At 52.0% G+C, this 27,334-nt stretch overlaps 1 protein-coding gene across 9 annotated transcripts in view; it reads right to left on the bottom strand.

Annotated features, from left to right (window-relative positions):
* The window catches only part of CD276 (CD276 molecule), a 30,571-nt gene continuing 22,992 nt past the window's right edge, over window positions 19,756-27,334 (bottom strand). For all 9 annotated transcript variants that reach the window (XM_017022638.2, XM_011522095.3, XM_005254700.5 and 6 more), the window contains 4 exons: window positions 25,797-25,931; window positions 24,581-24,622; window positions 23,100-23,135; window positions 19,756-21,336 (listed from right to left, as the gene is read on the bottom strand). In XM_017022638.2, the coding sequence (XP_016878127.1) occupies window positions 21,314-21,336; window positions 23,100-23,135; window positions 24,581-24,622; window positions 25,797-25,931 (236 nt within the window). In that variant the 3' untranslated portion in view covers window positions 19,756-21,313. The remainder of the gene's footprint in view (window positions 21,337-23,099; window positions 23,136-24,580; window positions 24,623-25,796; window positions 25,932-27,334) is intronic.

Here is a 27,334-nt window from a genome sequence, read left to right as displayed (position 1 = left end):
TGGTCTAGGCTTACCTGACAATGGGTGGGGCTGGAGTATCTAGAAAAGGCTTCTGGGGGCCGGGTACAGTGGCTCACGCCTGTAATCCCACCACTTTGGGAGGCTGAGGCGGGTGGATCATGAGGTCAAGAGATGGAGACCATCCTGGCCAACATGGTGAAACCCTGTCTCTACTAAAAATACAAAAAATTAGCCGGGTATTGTGGCGGGAGCCTGTAGTCCCAGCTACTCAGGAGGCAGAGGCAGGAAAATCACTTGAACCCAGGAGGTGGAGGTTGCAGTGAGCTGAGATTGCACCACTGCACTCCAGCCTGGCGACAGAGCAAAACTCCATTTAAAAAAAAAAAAAAAAAAAAGGAAAAGGCTTCTGGAAGGAGGGAGGATTTCACATGGAATTTCACTTGAAATGGAATAGAGCTGGGTCACCTAGAAGTGGGAATGAAGGACATGAGATACTGGTGGAACTTCACAAAGGTGGCTGGGGGAACCATATAGGAGATGGTGGAGAGAGCCCTTGTTAAAGTAGAGGTGCACATTGGTGCAAAATGGAAAAGATAAGAGCACCTTCTGCAAGGGACTTTTGAGTCCCCAGAGCCCCACTCAGAGCCACTCCATCCTCTTTAACTGTGGGGGAGGAAGCCAGGGTATCCTGTCTAGTCTGATACTGGGAGAATAGCTTTATGATAGCTCAGCAACAGTTATCCAGTAGACCATCATGATAGGGACCCACTCTTATGAATAGATAAGAACAGCACACAATTAGCACATTGGTAAGTAACATAGATATGCTAAGCCCTTGAAGATAATTGGATCTTGCAAGCGGGTTAAACGTCCCTCCTGCAATGCATTTGCAGTGCCCTTTTCTTTCTCCCACAGGGCAGAGGGGTGGGATGCTGGAGCTGCACCTTCCTGTAACATGTTACACGGGAGCTAGCTGGAATTCTGATGCAACCTGACTCCTCCATTGGCCTGCCCCGAACCCCTACCAGAGGGGCGAGCACAGCTGCCATCACCACCTGCCCACCCCCACCTTACCTGTACCAGCCATGCCAGACTAGGGGACCAAGGGGTCTTGGAGGGTGACCTCAGGCTGACGCTATCCAGGGCTCAGACACTGTGCTGATCAGACATGACTCCCTGCCAGGAACACTCAAGCTTACACACCTGCCTGAGGCTTTTGGCTCTCAGTTCCTGTTCAGGCTGCTCCATTCCTATTATGCTGGGATGTGTAAAGTCAGGCACTTCCCACTGTGGACAACAAATCTGATGGTGCAGACCCACCCTGGTGTCCTCTCCTCCCCCACTATCTTAGAAGAGCCACAGAAACCCAGTCTCCAGGCATCACCCGACCTGTCCTCCACCCCCAAGAAAGCAGGATGGGGTGGGGGTTGCAGGTGTCACTGCAAGGCACTGCCTGTGGAGCAGCTGTGGAAAGATCCCGAGGGGCCCTGATCTTTGTGGGGTTCCTTGACACACGATGGCCAGTGGTGGGGCCTTCCCAGGAGACCCCTGTAAAATGGAGAATTTTTCCTTAGCTAAATGGCTGAGTGTGAGCAGCTTCCCAAAGGAGGTAGTGCTGGCAGCCCTCACAGCCCGCGCTCGCTCTCAGTGCCTCCTCGGCCTCGGCGCCCATTCTGGCCGCGCTTGAGGAGCCCTTCAGCCCACCGCTGCACTGTGGGAGCCCCTTTCTGGGCTGGCCAAGGCCGGAGCCAGCTCCCTCAGCTTGCGGGGAGGTGTGGAGGGAGAGGCGCGGGTGGGAACAGGACTCCGCGCGGCGCTTGTGGGCCAGCGCGAGTTCCGGGCGGGCGTGGGCTCCGCGGGCCCCGCACTCGCACTGGGAACCGCCGGCCGGCCGGCCCCGGGCAGTGAGGGGCTTAGCACCTGGGCCAGCAGCGGCTGTGCTGGATTTCTCGCCTGGCCTTAGCTGCCTCCCCGCGGGGCAGGGCTTGGGACCTGCAGCCCGCCATGCCTGAGCCACGCCCCCAACCCGCCGTCGGCTCCTGCGCGGCCCGAGCCTCCCCGACGACCGCTGCCCCCTGCTCCACAGCGCCCAGTCCCATCGACCGCCCAAGGGCTAAGGAGTGCGGGCTCAGGGCGCGGGACTGGCAGGCAGCTCCACCTGTAGTCCCGGTGGGGGATCCACTGGGTGAAGCCAGCTGGGCTCCTGAGTCTGGTGGTGACTTGGAGAATCTTTATGTCTAGCTAAGGGATTGTGAATGCACCAATCGGCACTCTGTATCTAGCTCAAGGTTTGCAAATGAACCAATCAGCACTCTGTGTCTAGCTCAGGGTTTGTAAATACACCAATCAACACTCTGTATCTAGCTAACCTAGTGGGGACATGGAGAACTTTTGTGTCTAGCTCAGGGATTGTAAACGCACCAATCAGCACCCTGTCAAAACGGACCAATCAGCTCTCTGTAAAACAGACCAATCGGCTCTCTGTAAAATGGACCAATCAGCAGGATGTGGGTGGGGCCAGATGAGAGAATAAAAGCGGGCTGCCCGAGCCCGTAGTGGTAACCTGGTGGGTTTGTTTTCCATCCTGTGGAGGCGGTTTTTTTTTTTATGTTTTGGGTTTACACTGTTTTTGTGAGTTGTAACGCTTATCACGAAAGTCTGCAGTTTCAGTCTTGAGGTTAGCGAGACTACAAAACCACCAGGAAGAACGAACGATTCCAGACGCGCTACCTTGAGAACTGTAACACTCACGGAGAAAGTCTGTAGCTTCGTTTCTGAACGAGCGAGACCACCGAATCCACCGGACGGAAAAAACTCTCAACACATCCGAATATGGGAAGGAGCAAACTCCAGAAACGCGCCTTTAAGAACTAAGTAACACTCAACTGCGAGGGTCTGCGGCTTCATTTTTGAAGTCAGACCGAGAACCTACGGATTCCGGACACAAGTCCAGCTCGTGAGGTGGGGAAGGGGAAGGGGGAGGGGAGGGAGGAGGTTCATATAGTAAGAGTAACCTGGGAGTGTGGGGAGGGGATAGAACCCTGCTCACTGCCCCCTGCCCATAGTGAACAATCGGCACTATCTATTTTGCCCTCCAGACACTACCGTTTCCGTAGAGACAGTACTAAGAGGAGGCTTATTTCCTCCTGTAGACCTAGCGGGAGGGCGGAGGCTTAAATCTAGAAAACCAACCATTGAGAGCAGGTGAATTCTAGGTATGATGAGCTCATTTTCTGACCTGCAGGGGGTGAGGGTGGTTAGGGGTAAACCTGTGATCCCAAAGGCACCAAGGGGAGCGTCAGCAGGTCTCTGGGATATGGGCTGGGAGCAGGAGCCAGGAGCCCCACTTGGCAAGGGGGTAGGTCTAGGACATGTTCCCAGGTGTGCTCAGTCTTGACACCACTTCAATGAGTGGCACATGCTGCAGTGTCCTGGTACTTAAGAGCTGCCAGCCCCTCTCAAGACAGACTTTTCACTCCAATGCCTGGTGTAAACGAGAAAAAGTTTTTCAGGATGGTGCCCCAGACATGGAGTTCAGTCTTCCCAGTCAACATATGGGCCTCCCAGAGGGTTCCAGTCTTTCCTCTGGCTTCCTAAAAAAAAAATGCGGTCCCTTGTGCTTGGGCTGGAGGCTGGCGGTGGTGTCAGGGAAACTGCAGATGGTCCTTCTACCCGGGGTGGGTGGGGACGTCCTGAGAACTCTAGCCCAGAGAACACCCTTTTTCAGGTCGGGCTAACCCTGCTCACCTTTCGGTTCCTTGGATATTTATTTCTCTTATCCACAGGTTGCAGACTGGTGGCCTGCATACCTGTTTTGCTTCCTACAGTAGTTTAAAAACAGCATTTTACGTAAAATTTCAGATTTCTTAGAAAAAATCAGTAGCTGTGACAACACTGGGCTGGCATTTCCGCACAGAACCAGTCAGCAGGAACTGAGCAGCAGGGCCCTTCTGGGTGGGACAGGCACTCACCAGTGTCCCCACACTGGCCCAGGGACTCATTTATTCGCACTGGCACCTGCAGGCATATGAGGCTGATTCCTGCCAATTCAGCCTACCCCAAACTCTTGTTTCGCCGTGTCTTTTCCTTTCTGCCTTGCTGCGTCTTAAGTGTGCCTCTGACCCACCCTCATCACTGCACTGAGGTTTATCTTCCCCCATACAGCTGTCTCCTCCAGTTGACTGCAAGCCCGAGGGCAGAAACAATGCTTCCATAAGGTTCTCAGTGAATGTACATTGAATAAACACACGTCTTGCCTTTGCTTGGCCCACCCTTGTCCATGGGACCTAACTCCCTCTCCAGATTCAGAGTTGGAGGGTCAAGACTCCCAAAGGCTTCCTGAAAGGGAGGAAGTTTCATTCTGGGTCGTGGGGCAGTGAAGGCAGGCACAGGCCACTTTGACCCTCTGGTGCTTTGAGGCAGCAGGCCTCTGCTGGACTTTGCGAAGCACTCACCCAGTTTTGTTTTGGTGGTTTTTTTTTTTTTTCTGGTTTTGGTTTCTTGTTGCTTTGTTTGCTTTTAAATTTAGAGCATCATTGCAGGGCTGAGGGATGATTTCATGCTTTTTAATAAGGGAATCTTCAAATCAAATAGCCCTTGTTGCTATTTCATCAATCCACTGTAGTGCCAGCCACATGGATAACTCATTCACTGAGTAATTGCCATTTTTCAAGTACTGAATGGGACATAGCAAGATGTCAGTAAGTGAATTTTTCTTGTATCTTTGCCCCATAGGCTTGCATATTCTGAAGGCCCAGTGGTGTGCCCTAAAAGCAAGGTTTAGCTAAATGCATCAGTATCAGATTCCCTCGTTTCCCCATTACTGCTGGCCTTGGGAGGCTGTCCCAGAAGCCCTGCAATGTACCCCTCAGACAAGCTCTCTTCCCTTTGGCCCTGTGCCCCTGCCCCATCACTATCAGAACTTCTTTCCCTAGGGAGTGTTGAGGGCACCTGTCAGAGCCACTGCACAACTCCAGGGACACCACTCACACTGTCACCTATGTAAATGGCCCCCCTCAGCACAGCTCTGCTGGAGACACCACAGCAGTGTGCCCTGGAGGTAGGCAGTATGGTGATTATGACACCTGCACAGGGCCACAAGGACGTATGGCCCTGACACCAAGCTGAGGCTGCCAGGGCTTCTGGACCAGGTTGAGAGCCTCAGACCTCATGCTTTTGAGCTCTAGCTGCCCACGGTACCCTCACCGCACACACTGGGGCCCAGAGAGATTTCCACATGGAACAGAGCAGGGGACAGAGTGTGGCTAGTGAAAGGGTCCCTTCCTGGCCCCAGGCTTGTCCCAAGAGGATCCATAATCCCCACCTCACCACCTTCTGTCCCTGGCAGAGACCTCATCCCAAAACTTCAGATGCAGAGGGCAGGATCCATGGCAGGCCAAGGCTGGCAGACACCATCCCAGAGTCTTGAGGCTCAAGATAGCTGACCAACCCCTGCCCCAACCGTGGCCAGATTCAGAAGCTGCTTTGTATTCTGGACCAAATGGTGGGCAGGGCCAGCCAGGAGAAGGCTGGCCTACAAGTGAGGTCCCTAATCCTAACTCTGGCTTCAGAGCCAGAAAGCCCTGGTTCCAGACTGGGGGTCCATCTCCTCCTACCTTTGTGACCTTGCACCAGCTATTTCACCTCTTGGAGCTTCATTTTCTTAAGGATATAAAACCCACCAATGGCCCTGCTGTGAAGGCTCAATGAAAAAATATGTGTGAAGCCCCTTCCCCAGGGCCTGCCAGAATATGCACCACCACCGTCTTGTTTCCTTCTCTCTCAAGGGCTCTCTGCCTCCCTGTCATATTGGGCATAGGAAATGTCCTGAGCTCAGGAACAAGGGTTCAGGGCGGCATTCTTGTGGCTGCTCCCAGGGTCAGTTCGCAAGGTCCAGAGAGGGATAGTACCTGCCCCATATGTCATCGCAGAGGCAGGACAGGAGGGTGGGGCTGGAGCAGAGCCTCACAGGCAGCTGCACTTTGCTGGAAGTGGGTCTATCCGAACCAGTCATGTCCTGGGGATGTTAACAAGCTGCCCATTAAGAATGGTTTCTCTCCTCCACGCTGGAGACGACCACATCTGGTAGTGGGTAGACCCCATTGTTGAGCCCTGGAGACTGTATGGACAGGACAGAAGGCTGCTAGAGTGGTTAAATTCCAGTTTTAATTAGTGGAAATTTGCTTGGCGGTGTGGAGAGGAATGGCCCAAGTGACCTCTAGAGCTGTAAGGGGAAAGGAGGGGTGGGGTGTGGAGGGCAATGCACGGGTTCCAGCACAAGGAAGAGATTTACCCCATCTACAACCACTTTGGGGTGACTCAAGTATACTGTGAGTACCTTGGACCCACCTGCCGGCAGACAAATGGGTTGTTTCCTCAGGGCCCAGCCACAAGGGCCCACTCTGCCTGCTACCCCGTGTGACATGCAGGATCTCACTAAGTAAGATCCTACTGGCCTCTGGCCGTGGGAGAGGCTGAGGTCTGATTTCTCTCCCGGAAGCCCAGCAGGCCCCAGGCCAGAGCACAGCTAGTCCCAGGTTGTCGCTATGCCCTCTGCATTCCTATCTGGTTGGCAGGGAGCTCTAGGCTTGTAGTGAGAGCTCCCTTCATTATAGAAAAGGGAGCTTAATGTTCTAGGAACTCATCTCCTTCTCCTCTTCCACCTTCTCCTACTCCTTGACTCATCAAGCACTAAGTAAGCATGTCTAGTCATCTTTCACGTCACACAAACAGACTTCTCTGCTTTTTAAAGATGTGCATCCTGGGCTGTGGACACAGCAATAGAGAAGGGCTGCACTGAATGAATCACACTTTTGCCTGACTGCCCCAGTGATAAGTGGCCTTCCTAGTGGTTGGATGGGAATAAGAGCTCAACTGTAAGACAGGCCGGTCTACAACCAGAGATAGGGCCCAGGGAGAGACCAAAAATAGGACTCAGTTCAGATCAAGGAAGGGGCTGAGTCTATAACTAGAATCAGGGTTCTATCTGTGACCAGGATCAGGGCTCAGTATATGACCAGGATTAGGGTTCAGTGTGTGATCAGGATCAGGACTCAGTGCACCACTGGGGTCAGGGTTCAGTGTGTGACCAGATCAGGGCTCTGTGACCAGAATTGTAGCTCAGTCTATGACCAGAGATTGAGCTTAGTGTGTGACCACAGTCAGCTCAGTGTGTTCCCATGGTTGGGGCTCAGTCTGTGACCCTGAGCCCATCACAGCGTCAGGGTTCAGTGTGTGACCAGGATCAAGGCTCAGTGCGTGACTGGGGTAAGGGCTCAGTGTATGATTAGAATCAGGGTTCAGTGTGTGACCAGAATTGGAGCTCAGTCTATGACCAGGGTTGGAGCTAAGTGTGTCTCCAGGGTTGGGGCTCAGTCTATGACCCTGAGCCCATCACAGGGTCAGGGTTTAGTGTGTGACCAGGGTCAGGGTTTTGTCTTTCCTATATGACTCAGTTCTCTGATCTAGTATAAACCTTTCTTCACATACAAAATGTGAAACAAATTGTTGCTCTCCTGTCTTAAGACCTTTTATGGGAAAAGCCTGCAAAAAAGATTTCCATGGTGCCTGGTGGTCTTTAGGAATGCAGTGCAGCCATTTGGCAGAGCGCCGGAGACCCTCGTGGCCTGGCCTCTGCTGCTCTCTACTCACCTTGCTTCTCCTCTCCATGCAGCTTTTGTTCAAGGCATAGGAGCTGCTTGCAGTTCCCTGAAGTGCCTGGTTACTTCATGCATCTGTGTTCTTCAAGGCCATTTCCCCTCGTGGCACTGACCCTGCCCCTCTTCAGTACTGTGTAGCAGTTAGAAGCTCAAGCGCTAAAGTAGACGAAAGCTGGATTCAAACCTGCCTCCGTCACTTCCTTGCTGTGGGATTTTTGGGCAAATAGCTTAGCTTCATCTTTACACAGAGGCATACTCAATATTCATGCATGGGCTGGTGGGAGATTTTCCTGGTGAGCCCGTGGTCAGGTTTTAATGCATATTACTCATTTTCATCATTAATGGTTCCCCATTGTGTCTGAGATGTTTGGTGAACACTCAGCATCCCTTTCCTGCCATCTTCTCATGGCCTTGCTAGACTGCAGTGCCTGGGAAGCTAAACATGCAGGGCTCCCTTGCAGCTGAAGTTGTGTGTGAATTAAGTTCCAGCAATTAGAGGCCCTTTGGCAAAACCTGGAAGGCAGATTTGGAGGCTTATCTGTGGCTGCTTTCAGCCAGTAAGCCTGTGGAACTGCAGCAGCATTTCAGTGCTGAGGCCTCAGATTCAGGGGTGTGGAAGGGTAGCAGCGATGGGTTTCTTTTTGTACCCTGGATCAGGTTGAAGCATGGTCTTGAACCCAATGGTTCCAATGATTCTTCCCCCATTCCCCATATTTTTGCTGCTATAACTAAATACCACAAATTCAGAGGCTTGTAACAACACACATTTATTCTCTCATAGCTGTGGAGGTCAGAAGTCCAAAATCGGTTTCACTGGGCTAAAGTCAAGGTGTCAGCAGCTCTGAGTTCCTTCTGGAGGCTCCAAGGACAGTCCATTTCCTTGCCTTGTCCAGTTTCTAGAGGCCTCCTGCCTTCCTTGGCTCACAGCCCCTTCCTCCGTCTTCAAGCCAGCTCCTGGTCTGTCATCCATCTCCTTTGTTTTTTCCTGATTCTGCTTTATTGCCTCCTTATAAGGACCCTTGTTGTTATATTGGGCCCACCTAGATAATCCAGGATCATCTTCCCATCTCAAGATTCTTAACCTAATTACATTTGTGAAGTCCTTTTTGCCAGGTAAGGTAATATTCACAGGCTCCAGGAATTAGAACATGGACATCTTTGGGGACCATTATTCAACCTACTGCATGACAAAGTAGCAGCCCCCTGGTTGTTCAGTTCTGTGATATTCTGTATTCTGGAAGTATTTCCTGGCCAGGCACTGTGGCTCACGCCTATAATCCCAGCACTTTGGGAGGCTGAGGCAGGTGGATCACTTGAGGTCAGAAGTTCAAGACCAGCCTGGCCAACATGGTGAAACCCCATCTTTACTAAAAATACAAAAATTAGCAGGGCATGGTGGCGTGTGCCTGTAGTCCCAGCTACATGGGAGGCTTAGACATGAGAATCGCTTGAACCCAGGTGGCAGAGGCTGCAGTGAGCCAAGGTCGTGCCATTGCACTCCAGTCTGGGCAACAGAGTGAGACTCTGTCTCAAAAAGAAAAGAAAAAAAGGAAACAAACAAAAAAAGAAAAATCAGCCAGGCGTGGTGGTGCACACCTGTAATCCCAGCTACTTGGGAGGCTGAGGCAGGAGGATAGCTTGAACCCAGGAGGCGGAGGTTTCAGTGAGCTGCGATCACACCACTGCACTCCAGCCTGGACCACAGAGCAAGACTCCATTTCAAAAAAAATCATTTCCTGAGACCCAGCCCCAAGCAGGCTCCTTCAGTCTTTGTAAGCACCCAATACCCTGTACTAAATTCCTTTCTGTTTAAAATACAGTTGCTTCTGTTCAATGTACCCAACTATGAATAACATACCAAATGTCCTGCAAGACTCAGCTCTCACATCACCGTGTCTGGAAAATCTGCCCCAATTCTTCCAGGATTCCTTGATCCCTCCTCTGGACCCCACAGTTCTGCCTAGATCAAATTCACATAAATGCTTATCTCCCCTAGTGGATCATGACTTTCCAATCCAACTACAGCACAGAATCTAACACTAAGGAAGGTTGCATCAAGAAATGAAGTAGGGGCGGGTGGCTGAGCACAGGCCCCTGAGCACCAAGCCTGGGATGCAGGCAGAGGCAGGGATGCCCTGGAGAGGAAGGGGATTGGCCAGCAACAGAAGGAAGGAAGCCTGGGACAGAAATGCAATCTCAGTGTCACATACCACAGCAGCAGCTAGACCCATGTGACACAGCACAATCTTCAGCCCCAGGGCTGCGTCCCAGCCTGCAGCTTTGTGGTCCTGAATCCAGAAGGCAGAAACAATGACGTGTGACAGAAGAGACAGGCCCCAACACACAGGACAGTGCCAGGGTTTAAACTCAGAAAACAACCAATGAGCAGGGGATGAATCTTTCTTAATTGAGGGCAGGAGAGAAAATGGGCAAAATGATGTCCTTAGCCTACGACAGGCTCTGACTCTTTCACCTAGGACTGAACAAGTGGTCTGGCCCCTGAGCCCAAAGGGCACACCCATACCTGGGTGTAAATGAAGCAAAGAAACTGATCTTTAAAAGGATCAGATGCAGGCCAGGTGCAGTGGCTCACACCTGTAATCCCAGCACTTTGGGAGGCAGAGGCGGGCAGATCACTGGAGGCCAGGAGTTCCAGACCAGCCTGGCAAACATGGTGAAAACCCATCTCTACTAAAAGTACAAAATTAACCAGGCATGGTGGCAGGCGCCTAGAATCCCAGCTATTCAGGAGACTGAGGCAGGAGAATCACTTGAACCCGGGAGGCAGAGGTTGCAGTGAGCTGAGATCGCACCACTGCACTTCAGCCTGGGTAACAGAGCAAGACTCTGCATTTAAAAAAAAAAAAAAAAAGGATCAGATGGGATCAGATGCAGGCAACAAATTGAAAAAACTTTGCATGCCACCCTAGATGATATGGATATAAAGGCACACAGCAGGTGAGAGACAGCCCTGCAGAAGGCCACCTCTGCTGTCAGGCAACAACTAAAGAACCCCAAAAAGCCCTGCCCTGCCCGTGGCTAATGCATGTTGTGACATCCGCTGGACTCCCTGCCCTCCCTCCACCTCAGTCTGCTCCATCCCATGTAATGGGAACAGTAGACTCTGTGCCAAACGGCTTAGGAAAATAAGGAAAACAAGAAAGCATGGTGCAAAATGAGAGGTTAGAAGGTCAGAAGAGTGGGAGGTGCAGATCCTGGGCCGTGGCAGGGAAGAGGCTCCATCTGGAGAAGAAAGGCTGGGAGGTCTGAGGTATTATTAATGAGGTCCCAACAGACAGGGCTGGGCCTGAGCTTGGAGAGCCGGCCCTCCTCCACCCCATGCTCAGCACACTTCAAATTAATAATTAAAATGCTTCCTGTCAAATTCAAGCCTGACACGTAATTAGAGCAGCTCCAGGCTTTAGGCAATGGTGATGAAAACAGCTCTTGTTAGACTTTTCTGGGGATGAGTGGGGTGAGAATTGAGAATAGAACCTTCCTCCCAAAATTTCTCCATCAGGGCCTTCTGTCTGCGTGCCAGATAGATATGGATGGGATTTTCCTTCTAGCCTGCGGAGAGGCTGGTAGATGGGGAGGAACCTCAGTTTCCCCCTCTGTGCCGGGAAGAGATTGGACAAAGTACAATCCTGTCAAGAGAGGGCAGCTCAGGGATTTGTGTAAGGAGGGTAGGTGGTGGCTTCTTGGAGTTTCAAAGGCCAGACAGACAAATCTGAGGGCCAACTGCAGATCCCGACTTGCTCCCGACCCACCCCCACACGTGCACAGAAGGCATTGCCATTGTGTCCTTTCCAGCCAGGGCTGCTGGGGAGCAGCTAAACTCAGCTACCAACTGTTCAGTGGCCACAGCATCCCAGTCCAGGTTCCTCCCTAGAAACCCATGGCGCTCATCACCTCCTTCTGGAGTACAGCCTTTCTCCATTCCTATCAATAAAGTGGGACAGAGACCGAGGAGTCCTAGCTCCCAGCTTCTGGGCTTCTCAGTGCCCCAGGGGCACAGGTTGGAGGTGCTATCCATGGTTCTAGGGAGACTTCCAGTTTTCAGCTTCTTCCCATGTCAGGCGTTCTTCCAGAGCCCTAATTGGCCTGCCTGATCCCCTAGACCCCTTCTACCAGAGTCCAGTTCCTGAGCCCTATGACACTGTCACACCACACTTGTCACCAGACCTGGCCCCCCAGTGGAGGCCCTGAGAGAGGGAAGGGATCCCCACTGCTCAGCTCATTGATGGAGAGCCTTGAATGCCCATCCTGGGGGTTCACCCTGATGGGCCTGCCCTTAGGAGCTTGGGAAATGGAGCCCATGCTCAAGCTACCTATTAGAAGAAAATCATTTTAAATCAATGTCGTGTTACTTCATTGAAGCTGCCTTCATAAATATTTTAAAGGTGTTTATTAGGAAAACCACAGGAGGAGAGAGGAGGTTGCTGAGGTTGGGAGGAGTGGTGCCCTATAAGGGCTTAGCTGCCACTGCCAGCACTGCTGCCAATGAAACGTGCTCCCTTGGAGGGGCTGGCTCTGTGGGGGCTGCAAAACGGAAAAGCCCACTGTGTTGGGCTGCCTCACCACATGCAGGAAGTGGCTGCTCAGATGCCCATCCTCTTGTCCTCATATTGAACCCCACAGAGGTGTATCACAGAGTCTTGTGGACATGGCGCTGAGCCGGGGGCAGAGCCTCCTGGGTCCTATTCTGAGCTTTGCTCCCAGCTGCTCCCAATTCCTCCCCTTCTAGAGCTCAGCAATACTGTGGACAAGGGGCTTGAGCGTCCCTTCCACAGCAGGCTGATGTTTCCAAGTTTGTGGATGCTGCCCTTTGCTTTCCTGTTTTCACTCTTACCTACTCTCTCACCCCACCAAATGCACACATCCATCCAGGGCCACACACATTGGACCAGGAGCAGCCGCGGTGAGCAGGTGCACAGGGCCAGACAACTGCCCGCAGGAGCCCCTCAACCCAGGCATCTTGGCCTGCCTCGCCCCACACCACCAGGCAGGCAGAGGCCTGGCTAGGGCCAGGGGAGAGGCTAAGAATGGTGTCCTGCCCGCTGACCCAGCATCTCTCACAGGGCTGGGTGGGGATGGGGTGTGCGGCAGGGATGGAGGCACCACAGCCACCTCTGACACGGCTCCTCTCCTTGGGAAAGAGCTTGTTTTTCCTCCCCAAGCTGAAGCCAACAAGCCCATCAAACAGAAAGCAGAATCGATTTGCAGGCCAGGGATCTGCGGTGCTGGTGCTCAGGGGGCCATGGCTGCTGCTCCTTGTGCCTGGGGCTCCTTCAGCTACCATCTTGGGCTGAGCAATGAGAAATCGCCTCTGCTTCCACCCCCATCCTCCCCACACAAATCCTGTCTGACCATCCAGCCCCTCCCTATTGGTCTCAGGTCAAAGCTCTCTTTTGTCCTGGCTGAGTCCAGTGCCATCTGCCCAGATCTGTCCATTCATACTGTGTAAGTGCAGGTGAGGTGGCCCTGTGAAGGCTCTGTCCTTTGGGCATTCTCTGTCCATTTTGGTCAACTAGGGAGGGGAAGGTACTACTCTTGACCCCATTTTACAGATGGGGCCTACAAGGACAGCGAGCATTTAGTACCCAGCTCCCTAAGGGTTAGCAGAGCATGGGAGTGGGTGAACAGAGCTTAGGGAGTCTTCTCTAATAAGTAAATTTAAAAAATGGCTTGCAATTACCGTATCAATTGTTTCTGGGTAACTAAAAGCTTCTAAAAGATTTTTAAAATAGATTATTCCTTTAAATAGGTGAAGCACCATTTGGCTGCCTCATTTACATTGTTCATTTGCTGGGAAATCATTTTTTCATGGATAGTGTAGAAGTAAACTTCAGCCTTAGTTACTTCCATTCAGAGACCTGAATTAATGTGGTTTGGGTACCTCCTGCTTGCAGCAGACCAGAGGACAGGAGCTGCTCTGTGCCCGGCTCTGGGCTTGGGGGCCAGCCAGAGCTGCTCTGGGGAGATGAGTTCCCAGAGTGCAATGAATGAGCAAGTGCTTCATCGTAGCTATGAAACACGGAGTTGCAGAGATCTGGGGGGATACATAGGAGGGGGGTGTCTAGGATCTGCACAGGCGGAGGAGAGAGAGGGCATATCCAAGGATGGGGGGAGCTGGAGCAAATGCTTATAAACACGACTGAATATGAAACATGCAACTTCTGCCACTCGCCAGTCATCTCTGTCCCCTTCTCCCTTATACTTCCCCCTGACTCCCTCATCACCCATCCTGCAGACAGAACAGAATGCACTCTCTTCTAGCACTGCAAAGCCCATTCCAAAAATGTCCTAGGTCCAGAACCCCTGGCTGCCAGCACATTCTCCTGTTGGGCTGACCCAGATCCTCCTGGCTGCAGTGGACGGGAGGACGCTGAGAAAAGCAGCACAGATAGAGACACCAAGAAAATCAGCATCCTGGCCATGCCTCACAGGTCATCAAGGCCCTCAGCATGGTCACCCAAGGAGGCTGAGCCCTCTGTAACCTGGCCAGCTTCAGTTCCCGGAACGTTTGCTGAAACTGTCAGCAAGCACATGGATTTCAATGCAATTACAAAAGCTATAAGAACAAGAAGTGCATTCATTCATTAGCAAATTACACTAAATTATCTTAGCAAATAAGGCAAAATGTCAGTCAGTGGCTGGCAGGCTCTGCAGACACATCAGTCCCTCTTCCCCACCTCCAACAATGGTGCCACACTCTGCAGGGACTTTTTAGGAGAGGATATTGCAACATGAGGAGCAGGAAGGAAACAGAATAGAGTGTAGACCAGCACCCAGGGAGCATGCTGGCCTGTAAATTAGGGTGGGTAGGTAGGTAGGCAGGTGGACTTCAGATAGGTGAGTTTTGAGACTGAGGAAGAACTAGAGGCCAGAGAGCTGCAAGGAGGAGGGTGGGGGTGGTAGAGGAGAGCTCCTGTGCTTCAGTCACTCTGGATACTACAGGGCTGCAGTGTGGTAGAGACCCCAGGATACCCTGATTCTGAAGCATGTGTGAGATGGGAGGTGGGGGGGCGGGGAGCAGGAAAAGCACGAAGGCTATTATTTCCCTGAGCCTGGCACATGCACGTAGACTGACGGCTACAGGGAGCAGGACAGATGTTCCTTCCCTCCGTGGAGGACATGGTGCTGGAGGGAAGAGGGAGTCAGAAACAGCCACGTGGCTGCGCACATCTGGAGTCCTGGGGGTGACGGGAGAGACACAGAGGCAAAAGGGAGGCCGTGAAAGGAGAAGGGGGAGGGGATGATCAGGAGTAGGCAGGGCCCCCCATTTCCTAGAGCTAAAAAGGATTGAGCCATCACCAGCGGCACCCCATCCTTCATCATTCTCCCATAGCCTATGTGTCTGGTCTGAATGCAGGAACTCAGGATGCCTGCTCTCTTCCCCAGCCCCACAACACAGGGAACAGGGCCCCCTCCTTTCTGAACTAAAGATTATCACTTCCCTCAACCTTCCTTGCTCCTGTATTTTGTGTGCTTCCCTTAATTAAAAACAAAAAACCCACAGTCCAATATGGTGATCACTGAGAATAGCTAGCTTATCTAAGAGGTGGGGTCTCAAAGGTCTCAGCTCAGGGCTGTCTTCTGAATCCTATTTTACATTAATTTATAAGCCAGACTAGAGCCACTGGCATATGCACATCAAATACTTAGCAATAAACTCAACCAATTGCATCAGAACTTCTGGGGATGGAGCCCAGGCACCATTTACAACTCCCAAAGTGATTCTAATGGGCAGCCAGGGTTGAGAACCGCTGGACTAATGGGATCTGGAGCTGTATCACTAGGAACATAGTGCCCTGGATGCAGGAGGTGAGAGGTGATCTATCATGAGCTGAAGCATCGTGATCCATGCCAGAGCCTCAATCTGCAAGGGACACGGATGAAACACATCCAGAGGAGAGCGCTGGGGTGGAGAAATCATATTAGCTAAGGAAGCTGAGGTGCAGGGGATATTTTGCTGCTCAGATGCTGGAGAAAGGCTGGAGGCAAAGGTCACAGTCCCTCTGTCTGAGGGCTGGGTTATGCCTCCTCTATGAGACCCAGGTGTTTCTCTGTGCTAACAAAGAGCTGCCTCATTAGTAATGAAGTAGTGTCACCATAATTACCTGGAGCTGGCAGTGCCAAAGGTTATGAATACTCTCTGACACAAGTGCAAGAGATTTAACCTAACCTGAGCCACCTGCATCCAACAGGATGCTGACCAGGCACAGTGGCTCTTGCCTGTAATCCCAGCACTTTGGGAGGCCAAGGCAGGAGGATTGATTGAACCCAGGAGTTTGAGACCAGCCCAGGAAACATAGCAAGATCCCGTCTCTGCAAAAAAAAAAAAAAAAAAAAAAAAAAAAAAAAAAATATATATATATATATATATATATATATATATATATATATATATATAAAATTAGGTGTAGTGGCAGGCACCTGCAGTCCCAGCTACTCAGGAGACTGAGGCAGGCAGATCACGAGCTCTGGAGGTCGAGGCTGCAGTGAGCTATGACCGTACCACTGCACTCCAGCCTGGGCAACAGAGTGAGACCTTCTTTTAAAGAAAAACCCCAAAGATGCTGAGAACCTCCCCCCATCAATTATGGTGCTGCGGGTGCAGGGCTCAACCCTGGCACACACACACTCAGAACACGGTGCTCGGCCCACATAATCCACTAGGAGGCAGACGCACTCCCCCAGGACTGGGGTCCCGGGGACGCAGATAGCTCCTGGAAACTGAGGCAGCGGCAGTGACATATGCTGAAGGGCAAGGTGGTCCAGAGCGGGTGGAAGGGATGACTGCAGGCCCTGTACACTACCAAATCAGGCTCCACTCTGAAGTCTCTGAGAGACCAACTGGATGTGAATTCCAAGCACCATCTCTGCCCTGTCTAGAATCAGTTTTTCCAGCCACCCTAAGTTTTCTTCACTTGCATTCTTACTGCCACAGGGACTGGCTAAAAAGGCAGCTGAAACAATTGGTAACACTTAAAATGTATCCAGAGATCCCACTTCTAGGGCTCCATACTGTAGAAACTCGAACACAAGCCTGCATTATTTGTGTCTAAACTGTAGGAACTAGCAAAATATAGGCTAGAACAGCAGTACTTTGAGATACTATGTAGCCATTTAAAAAGAACGAGGGAGGTCTTTGCAAGAAGCTAGATACAAAATAGCATGTACTGCAGGATTCCATTTATATGAAGTTCAAGAATAAGTAAAACTAATTGGTGAAAGCAGCCAAGTGGGCGGGGCTGTTGCTTGGGTAGGGACACTAGGGAACTTTCTGGAATCCAGGAACTGTTCTATATCTTGATCTGGGTAGTGGTTACATGGGTAGAGATTTGTGTAAAAATTCATGGAGTCATACACTGAGGATTAGCATCTTGTAAATACTAGAGGTATGTTACACATCGATATAGAAGGTAAAGAGGACAAGGACACTTCTATCTAGAAGAAGTGACTTGGGAAAAGAGTAAAGAAAAACAGAAAAAAGGGTTGCATGATGTTTATGATATTTTTGTAAATGTGTAAGACTGATACAACAGTCTAGAAGGTGGCCAGTCTAATAGCAGAGCCAGGATTCAAAGTCAAGTGTCCTGACCCCCAGCCCAGGCTCCTGCTGCCCAGGGTCTGCGAGTGTAAGCAGAATGCTCCAAACACACAAGTAGAAGAGGCAGGATGATCCAGGTGCCCTGGCCACACCATTTTAACCCCTCCTCCCAGTCTCCTCCTTCTGGGTGGTGAGTAGTCAGATCCACTGGTCTTCAAGCCCTGGTTACAAATGGTCCTGGAGGCGAATTCTGGTCACACCTTGAGCCAGGCAAATGAACCTCGCTCTGTCCCCTCTTTAATATGGATGTGACACCTGCAAGCTATAGCTTGTCGCACTGTGAGAATTATTTCTCCATTAAAATGTAGGAGTTGGAGCTTTGCCCAGGAAGGGCAGCTAAAAATACTGCTGTCCAGGGCACTTGTCACCAGAGGACTTAGTTGCCACTCTCTTTACACCTAAGCCTCCAGGCAAGTCCCACACCTGCTGGGTCCGTGCCCAGAACACTTGATACAGTGTCCTGTCTGAGCCTTATCCAGCCCTGTCGCAAAGAAAAAGCATGGGTTCCTGTGCCTGTTTTACAGATGAACAAACTGGGCTTCAGAGAGCTTGTTCCAAGTCACTGTGCTCAATCTACAAAATCACCTAAGGAGCAACAGCGCGTGGGCCTGACTGCAGGGAGGGAAAGAATAGCCCCCCACATGTGCCCAGCACCTAATGGTTTGCAGTGTCTTTTTATTTTTATTTTTGAGATAGAGTCTCACTCTGTCACCCAAGCTGGAATGCAGTGGCGTGATCTCAGCTCACTGCAACTTCCACCTCCTGGGCTCAAATGATTCTCCTGTGTCAGCCCCCTGATTAGCTGGGACTACAGGCACGTGCCACCACACCCGGCTAATTTTTTTGTATTCTTAATGGAGACAGGGTTTTACCATGTTGGCCAGGCTGGTCTTGAACTCCTGACCTCAGGTGATCTGCCTGCCTCAGCCTCCCAAAATGCTGGGTTTACAGGCGTGAGCCACTGCATCTGGCCTAATTGCAGTGTCTTCTCACCCACTGCTTTATCCAGCCCTCTCAACAGTGCTTTGAAACAGGAACTATTACTGTCTCTACAGGTAGGGACTGAAGCCCAGTGTGGTGAAGCAGCAAGCTCAAGGGCACACAGTGGGTTGAAGGGGCAAAGGCATAAGTCTTTCAATCCTAATACCCACCCAGAGCACCGATGACAGGACCTCAAGCAACATGACTGATCTCACCCCTAGAGCCATCAACTTTATAACAAAGCCTCCAGTTTGTAAAGAATGCCACATACTTTTTGGGAGATGACTTGTCACCCCTATCTAATGGATAAGGAAAGTAAGGCTCAGAGGTATGAAGGACATGGACACAGGTTAGCAGCAGAGCCAGGATTGAAAGTCAAGTGTCCTCACCCCCAGCACAGGCTCCTCCTGCTGCCCAGGGTCTGCAAAGCTCCAGGCTGTCCCAGTGCCAGGACACTGTCATCCAGGGGCAAGCGAACGCAGTATCCTAGGCAGGTTCCCATAGCCCTGAATCTGGCTCTCTGGAAGCCTGTGCGCCTCCTCTCAGTCTTTCAAAATGGAAGGTAGTTAAAACCTCAGTCCTATTTTTCTTTTCTTTTTTTTTTTTCTTTAGAGACAGAGTCTTGCTCTGTTGCCCAGGCTGGAATGCAGTGGTACAATTACAGCTCATGGCAACTTCGACCTCCTGGGCTGAAGATCAAGTGATTCTCCCACCTCAGCCTCCTGAGTAATAGGACTACAGGTGTGTGCCTGTAGTTAATTTTTTATTTGTGCAGAGACAGGGTCTTGTTATGTTGCCCGGGCTAGTCTTGAAATCCTGGCCTTAAGCGATCCTCCCACCTCAGCCTCCTGAGTAACTAGGACTACAGGTGGGTGCCACCGCACCTCGCTAATTTTTTATTTCTGTGCAGAGACAGGGTCTTGCTATGTTGCCCAGGCTAGTCTTGAAATCCTGGCCTTAAGCGATCCTCCCACCTCAGCCTCCCAAAGTGTTGGGATTACAGGCATGAGCCACTATGCATAGGTGGCTATTTTTTGTACAAGAAAGCCAAGGCTCAGAGAAGGTAAATGTCCTGCTCAGGGTCATAGGGCAGAACTATGTCCTGGGAATGGACCTCTGATCCCTGGCCTGGTGCCCATCCAATTGAGTCAGCCAGAAACAGCATTCAGAACTCTTTTCCTGGTGCCAGCTTCTTACTGGGTCTCAGCTTCACAGTCTCTAAAATGGGTTCATTAGTAGAGGCCCTAAACAAGCCTAGGTTTGAGTTTTCTGAGGCAAAGAAATTGAGTGATGCTTCCAGTGGGAGGAGCCCCATACAGTGACCAAAGGGCCTGGCTTTCTGGACAACCAACTTCACTTTACCCAGAGGGAAACTGAAGCCAAGGAGGGAGCCAAATGGCCTTGGGGATCCAGTGATTTAAGGACGGTGAGATAAGGAGGGCCAGGCTTCCCTACCCCAGCCTGCAACATCCAGGAGAGAATCCTGCTGGTTGAGTCCTGGGGCCCACCCTGCTTCCAAACACTTCACAGAGAAAAAGCTTTTTACAAAGACATTTATTTTCCCCAAAATATACCCCCAGTTTACAAAATCCCTCCGAGTCCCACATTTAAATTAGAAGTCCTCACATCTTCCATTCCTGGGGCAGGGAGAGATGACATCCGGAAGGCATCAGAACGTCTGAAGTCTCACTCTACCAGAGGCCAGGAGCTGGCCAGAGGCAAGCCAGGAAAAGACTGCCCCAGCCCCAGAATAGCACCATGGTGGGGGTGGGGGGCAGTCCCCTCGGTGTCCCCAAAGCATTCCTGGCCCTGCCCTGCCCCAGGCTCTGCCTTTTCTGCTGCTATGAAAGGTCCAGAGGGCCTTGGTGCCTGCCCACCTGCCCACACCTGGACAGACATTTTGGACACCACCAGATTCTCTAGCCGTGGCGAGGGGCTATGTCCCTCTCTCCAGGTTTCCGCCCCAACCCCATGCTCTGGGTAAGAATTATGGGTGGGATGGGGGTGAGGTATCCAGGAAGCCTTGAGCCACAGAGGAGGTGTGGAGCAGGGAGCCAGGCAGGAGCCCCCTGCAAACCGCAGGGTGCAGTGTAGTTAGTTGTCTGTCTCCCAGCTGGATGGGGAGTCCTTGAGGGAGGAACTTTATCTTCCCACGCAGGGCCCCCAGCACCTAACACAGTGCTGACATCTGTAGTTGCTCAATAAACATCAACTGAATGGATACATGAAAAGAAAGGAACAAAGAGGTGAGAAGGCAGAGGGACAGAAGCTGACCCCCAGGGGCCCCATCACAGACCCCTGGAGAACCAGTGTGACCAGCACATGCTTCCGTGGGGAGGATGGGCAGGGGAGAGGGGCACTGCAGAGGAGGCTGGGCCAGGGGGGAACCACACGTGTTCCAGCACGTGCACCTGCAGGTCTCCATGCACAGCTGTGCATGTGGTGGGCGCAGAGTGCCCTGTCTTCACTTGGGGCAGGGAGGGAAAAGGCCAGTATTAAGGCTAGAGCAAGAGGAGGAAGGAGGGGAAAGGAAACAGCTTCTAGACTCCAGGAGATGTTGAGGCCGCACTGTCCCTGTCTGAGAAGAAAAGATTCTATGCAGGTGGAAGCAGGGCTGAACATGATCACTAGTGTATCACGGCCATTGGAGAAACAAGGCCGGGGTGACTATGCATCGTGTCTTTGGTGAAATAAGGCAGGGGGTCAGTCAGTCTGAATATTGCATCTTTTGGAGAAAAAAGGCAGCCAGATGGTCCACGCAGCACTGGAAGAAGAGGGTGGTGATGTGGTCAGTGTACTGTGTCCCTAAGAAATGTATGTACTGTGAAATAAGGCAGCAGGCAGGATGACTTAGAGAACTAAGGTTGTGGGTGGTCTGTTCATTGTGTCTATAAGAAAAAAGGCAGCAGGATGACTTGGGAATCATGTCCATTGGAGAAATAAGGCTGCACAGTGGTCTGTGTATCGCATCCTTTGGAGAAGGAGCCCACCTGTCAGAGCAGGATGCATCTGTTGGGGGCAGGGCTCACAGTGCAGCCCCATTGCAGCCAGAGGGTAGGAGCTGTAGGGAGGGGTAGCAGCTCCCTGGTCCTCATGGTCAGGCTATTTCTTGTCCATCATCTTCATTTCATGATGGGAAGAAAAAAAAGGGAAGGGAAAAGCATTAGATGCCAGAAGATCTATTTTTGGGATTATGCCAGAAGCCCAAGCACCTGGTCAGACTTCAAGTGGGGAGTGTGTGTGAGACAGCAGCCCAACGGACAGCCCCCGTGCTGACCACGGCCCTGGAGGCCCAGACACAGATGCAGGTGCCAGGCACGCCGGGGCACCTGAGGGGGACCACCTCACGCAGCCCCCTCTCAGTACCCACAGGCCCACAGCCCGATACACTTCCCTCCACTCTCCCTCTACGTGCAACACTTTTCCCTTCTCATCTCCTGTTTGTCCATCCCATCCACCCTCCAAGGCCTGGCCCAACTCCCTCGTCCAGCAGGCAGCCTTCCCAGTGTCCCCTCCACACTGGTTTCCCTGAGAGTGACACGGCAGGGGCCCTCCTCCTTCCCTTGGGCTTCCTGTCTCCATGTGGAGGGCCATCCCAAAGACTCATCTTTCAGACCCCACTCTGCATCTGAAGCTGAATGGAGACTTGGGAAGAAGGGCTTGGGCCCTTCCCCTGCCCTCTCCCTCACCCATTCTTGGGGCTCTGTATGTCCCTGGGGAGAGGAGAAGAGCTCCCCCATCTGGGCACTGCCTCTGTGGTTGTCCAGCATGGCCAGAGACTGAGGGGGCAGGCTGCCTCACCAAGGAGCAGGGTTAGGAAGCAAACTGGTTTGCCCATCCAGGCCACATTCTCCAGCAACTCTTCAAAACCAAGCTGACTTTTTTTTTTTTTTTTTTTTGAGATGGAATCTTGCTCTGTTGCCCAGGCTGGAGTGCACAGGTGCAATCTCAGTTCACTGCAACCTCTGCCTCCCAGGTTCAAGTGATTCTCCCGCCTCAGCTTCCCAAGTAGCTGGGATTACAGGCATGCACCACCACGCCCGGCTAAGTTTTGTATTTTTAGTAGAGACAGGGTTTCACCATGTTGGCCAGGCTGGTCTCAAACTCCTGACCTCAAGTGATCCACCCACCTCGGCCTCCCAAAGTGCTGAGATTACAGGTGTGAAGTACCATGCCTGGCCTAAGCTGACACTTTTTATCTCCATCTGCCCAGCTCTTCTATGGTTATTTGATTCTGAAAAACAGGAAGGAAATGACCTATCTCCTGTATTTCCAAATGTCATCACTGACATTATAACAATAGGCCCAATAATGACTATGGACATTTACTAACCACCCACTGTGCGCCAGGGACATGGCTACCCAGCTGAACACTTTTCTAGCCTCCCCTGAGTTAGGGCTCATATGCCTGGGTTCTGACCAATGGAATGTAAGCGGAAGTGATGCAGGCTACTTCCACTCAAGCTCTAGAAGGAAACATATCCTTCCTTTCTCTCCCTCTTGGCTCTGGAGGGGGCGTGGGAGCACAAACAGCCTCTTAGACCTAGGAGTGAAAGCTTGAAGTTGAAGAGGGCAGAATCCAGGTAAGTGGAACCTGGCTCCAGGTCATCAGTGGTTTTACGATTACCTATGCTCACACTATCACAGGAAGGAGGAATAAACTCCTGTCCTGCTTAAGCCTCTGTCGTATTTGGGTCCCATCAGAGCAGCTGGGACCTTGGTTACTCAGCCCTCTGCCATCTCACCAGGGGGAAGTTGAGGCTGCTCTTCTGCAGAGGGGGCCTCAGGTCACTAGTGAAAGGATGATGCCTACCCACCCTCTCAGCCTCTCACACACAGATGTGTGCATACACAGACACAACCTCAAGCCCAGGTGTCTTTACCTTCTTTGCTGTCAGAGTGTTTCAGAGGCTGCAGGGCTGTAAAAAAAGGAAGGCGCACACGGTGAGGGAGGAACCATGGGAAGTGGTGGGGTAGGGAGTCAGGCAGAGGGAGGAGTGAGGGCTGGAAGGGGCGGGACAAGTCAGCAGAGTGGGACCACTTCATAGCACAAGGGAAGGGGCCCTAGGTTGCTGTCCCAAGCCCCAGTCCCAGGTCCCAGTTCCACTCTGTGGCTTGTCATTCTCCTCTCTGGGCCTTAGTTTTCTGCATCTATAGAATGGGACAACCCTCGAGCCCTCCACCTCCAGCTGGAGATGCGGAAGTGCCCTGAGCCCAATGTACACACAGGGTGATGTGAGAAGCTAAAGGAGGCTGGCAGATTTGCAGGTGGGCCTGGGACCATGTGGAATGAGACTGACCAACTCCATCACCCACACTCTTCTCCTCACTCCCTCCCTTCTGCCAACTACATCTGCCTCTGAGCATGAAGAATGAGGTCTGATCCCAGAGCTGTCTCTACGCCTGCCACGCTGGGCACCAACAGGCAAAGAATTAATTGGCATAATTTATAGCAGTCCCCAAGTGTCAATCTCCTGCCCTTCCTTCTGCGGGGGTGGGGAGGGAACTGGCATTAACTGGAACCATCCCAAATGGCTCAGCGGAAACCTGCCTCTCCCAGCCCAGGATCCCCTGGGAGTCGGCCATGGGCACCAGTGCCTTGGCACCCACCCAAGCTGGGCCCCCAGCTTACTGTGCCATGCTCCTATGTCCTTTGCAAGTACCTCCCTCTCCAGTCACCTGAAAGAGCTTCAAAACAGCCCTCTGGTGCCATCAGGGCAGGGTCAGGATGACATTTTACAGATGGGAAACTGATGCCCAGAGGAGCAAGGCACCTTGCCCAAAGCTACACAGTCTGTAACTAGAACAGTATTGTCTTAAGCTGTTTGCCTAATAGTAATAGGACTCCAGAGTATTAAGCACTTGGCACTAGATATGATACTAGGTCCTTTATATACATTATCTCAATTAATAATTCAAACAACCTATGAATCTGTGATTATCCTCATTTTACATAAGAGGAAACCGAAGCCAGAGAGGCAAAGCATCTTGCTCAAGGCCACTCTGTTTACCTGAGATGGAGCAGGAACTTAAACCCAGACTCCCTATCTCCGGAGCCCCTGCTCCCACCCCTAGGAAGCCACCAGACTCCACGGTGTGGGGCCAATCAGGTGGAATCGGCCCTGGCAGATGGGTAAAGGTTGGCAGGAGAAATGAAGCCACACCTGGGAGGGAACTGGGTGATCCACTTCCTGCCTAACTCTGGGCAAAGAGCAGACTCACCGGGGTGGGGAGGTCTGAGTCCACAGAACACATTTCATTCAAACCTTACAGCAAATCTGGCCCCTCCAGATCCTAGAGTCCTCTCTCCTTTCCCATATGTCCCTCTCCCAGCCAAGAGGGCCAGCTCCAAGTTCAGACTCACCTGTCTTGGAGCCTTCTCCCTCCCCATCCTGGTCCTCAGCTCCTGCAAAGGCAAGAACTCAGAATAAACAAAAATCTTTTGCAAGCCCATTTTCATGCCAGCACTTTCCCACCTGAGAGTGCAGGAAGCTGGTGAACAGGGCCTGAGTGGGCCTGACCTGCGGACCAAATGCTAGACACGGGTTAGAGCCCGAGAGCAGAGCACAGCAGAGCCGAGCCTGTGACAACATGAAGGGGCTCCCAGCCTGGAGCCCACCACTCACCCAGCCAAAAACTACCCAGCCTGGCGCCCCCACCACTCACCCAGCCAAAGACCATCCACCCAGCCTGGAGTGCACCACTTACCCAGTCAAGGACCATCCACCCAGCCTGGAGCCCACCACTCACCCAGCCAAAGACCATCCACTCAACCTGGAGCCCCCGCCACACACCCAGCCAAAGACCATCCACCTACCCTCCACCAGCCCACCCACCCATCACCTCACCCATCCGCTCGCTCAGTAGCCCTGCCAACCATCAACCTCCAACAGATGTAACCAACCAGCCGTCTACCTGCTCATCCTTCCACCTGTCTACCTCACAAGTACTCACCTATCTGCCAACTGACCACTCTTCTTCCCTCTCCTTCCCAACCTCCAGCCATCCCCAGCCTCTGACTACCCATCTACTCTCATGCATCTGTTTACCCACCAGGGTCAACTCACCACCCACCAATGTCCTCTCACCCACTTACCAGTCACCAATGCCAGCTCGGGCTGACCCTCAGCCCCGCAAATGGCAGCTGCTTCAAACTCACTCCAAGGCAGGCACGATCACCCCCAGTGCCATGCACGCCCCTGGCATGCCTACATTTGTGCCGCACAGCTTCCATGCTCTGGCCTGCTCTCTCACACACACGTGACTGACTTACACTTTCACAGGCACACTTGTTGGCACACACTCATCCCTTTGTAGCACTTGGCCTTACACTCCCACCACCTTCCAGTCACACTCATCCACATTCATCCTGTGGTATCTGCACATGGACAGACAGGCTCACGCTTGTTCACACACACAAGACGTAGACTCAAGGTCACACACAGACAAATCCAGCCCCATCTGCACACACACACTCGTTCTGTCACTAGAAAGTGACACTCTATTGACATCAAAGACAGCAACATACCCCAAGACACATAAGTGTGCATGCGCACGCACACACATACACACACACTCACCTGCATTCTCCTCCTCACAGCTCTGTTTGATCTTTCTCCAGCACACGAAAGCCAGGGCCACCAGCAGTGCAATGAGACAGACAGACAGCCCCACGGTCACCCACAGGGCCTCTGGGGGGAATGTCATAGGCTGCCCTGAGAGGAAAAGTAGCAACAGTGAGACTGTCATGCCTGGCCCCATGTCCCGGAGGACAGCACCATTGGCTCCAAGTGTGAACAGGGGCTCCCACCCTCACTGGGCCCTAACACTATGAATAAAGCTCACTTAAGTTCCTACAGTCCCTTCGCCATACACTCCCCAAACCCTGATACAACCCTGGCTGATGTGGACACGCCTCAACCAGGAAGGGCTGAAGAGCCTGTGGTTGAATTGATGCTCAAGTACCTTCTATGGCTCCCTAGTGACTTTAGAATAATGCTTCAAGCTTCAAGCGTGATTCAAGGACCTCTAGAAGTTGGCTGCTGCTTACCCTCCCCTAAGTTTTCTAATTCTACTGTAGGAGCCTCAGCTTCAGCCAAACTGGTGTCCTAACCATTCTCTCCAGAAGCAACTGGCTCCTTCCAGCCTCTGCACTAATGCTATCAGTTTCCCAAATTCTCTGCTTAGCTCAATATTCACCTCCTCCAGAGGCCCTCTTTTGACTGCTTCAGCCCTACCTGGTGACATCTCCCATTCTATGGATCAGAAGGCAGCAAACTACAGCCCATGGGCCAAAGCTGGCTTGTGGCCTGTTTTTGTACAGTCCACAAACTAGTGATGGTTTTTACATTTGTAAAGGGTTACCAAAAAAAGATGGGGGAAGGCGGAGGAGGAACAGAAGGAGAAGCAGCAGCAACAGAGATGGTGTGTGGCCCACGATGCCTAAAAACATTTACTCCCTGGCCATTTACAGAAAATGTTCGCTGAGTCCTACATACAGATGAGGTCACTGACGGGGCTGGAGTGAGGGCTTGGAGTTTCCCCAAGGAGTCAGGTAGGTCTGCAGGGGCCTTGCCAGGGGGATATTAACATGAAACACTGAGGCCCCTCCTCTTAGAGCTGTCACGTCAAGAGGGATGAAGTTGAGGACCCAAAGCTGGGTAGGGCCAGGAGCTGTTCTGAGCACAGCCTGTGTGACTCCATCTTACATACCATCCTCTAGCCCAGCCCCTGCACCCAGCTGGGTCCTAGGGAGAAGTCTTGAGAGGAAAAGCCTGACAAAAGACAGTGCTGCTTTCCTTTGCTGTCTGGAGACGATGCACACCCAGGGCCTCAGCAGCTTCTGCAGGAGGCCCTGTCAGTGCAGTGCGCGGTGCTATGGACCCTTTGGCGGCAGAGACCCCAGCATAGATGCACCTCGTGCATGGATCTGCAGATGTCACCTTCAATAGGCACTGCTGGCAAAACTGCTGCTCTGGCCATTGGAAGCACAGGGATCCATCACCCCAGTGATGAAGAGAGGTGTGCAGAAAAGGAGGGCAGCAGCTGATGTGGCCAAGAGGGCCCATCCACAGAGCACACATTAAAAAACAATAACCACCCTGGAAATCCCATCATG

The sequence above is a fragment of the Homo sapiens genome, chromosome 15 (assembly GCF_000001405.40).
Source record: "Homo sapiens chromosome 15, GRCh38.p14 Primary Assembly".
In the NCBI taxonomy this organism is placed as follows: Eukaryota; Metazoa; Chordata; class Mammalia; order Primates; family Hominidae; genus Homo; species Homo sapiens.
This window is presented reverse-complemented; position numbering and strand designations above follow the sequence as displayed.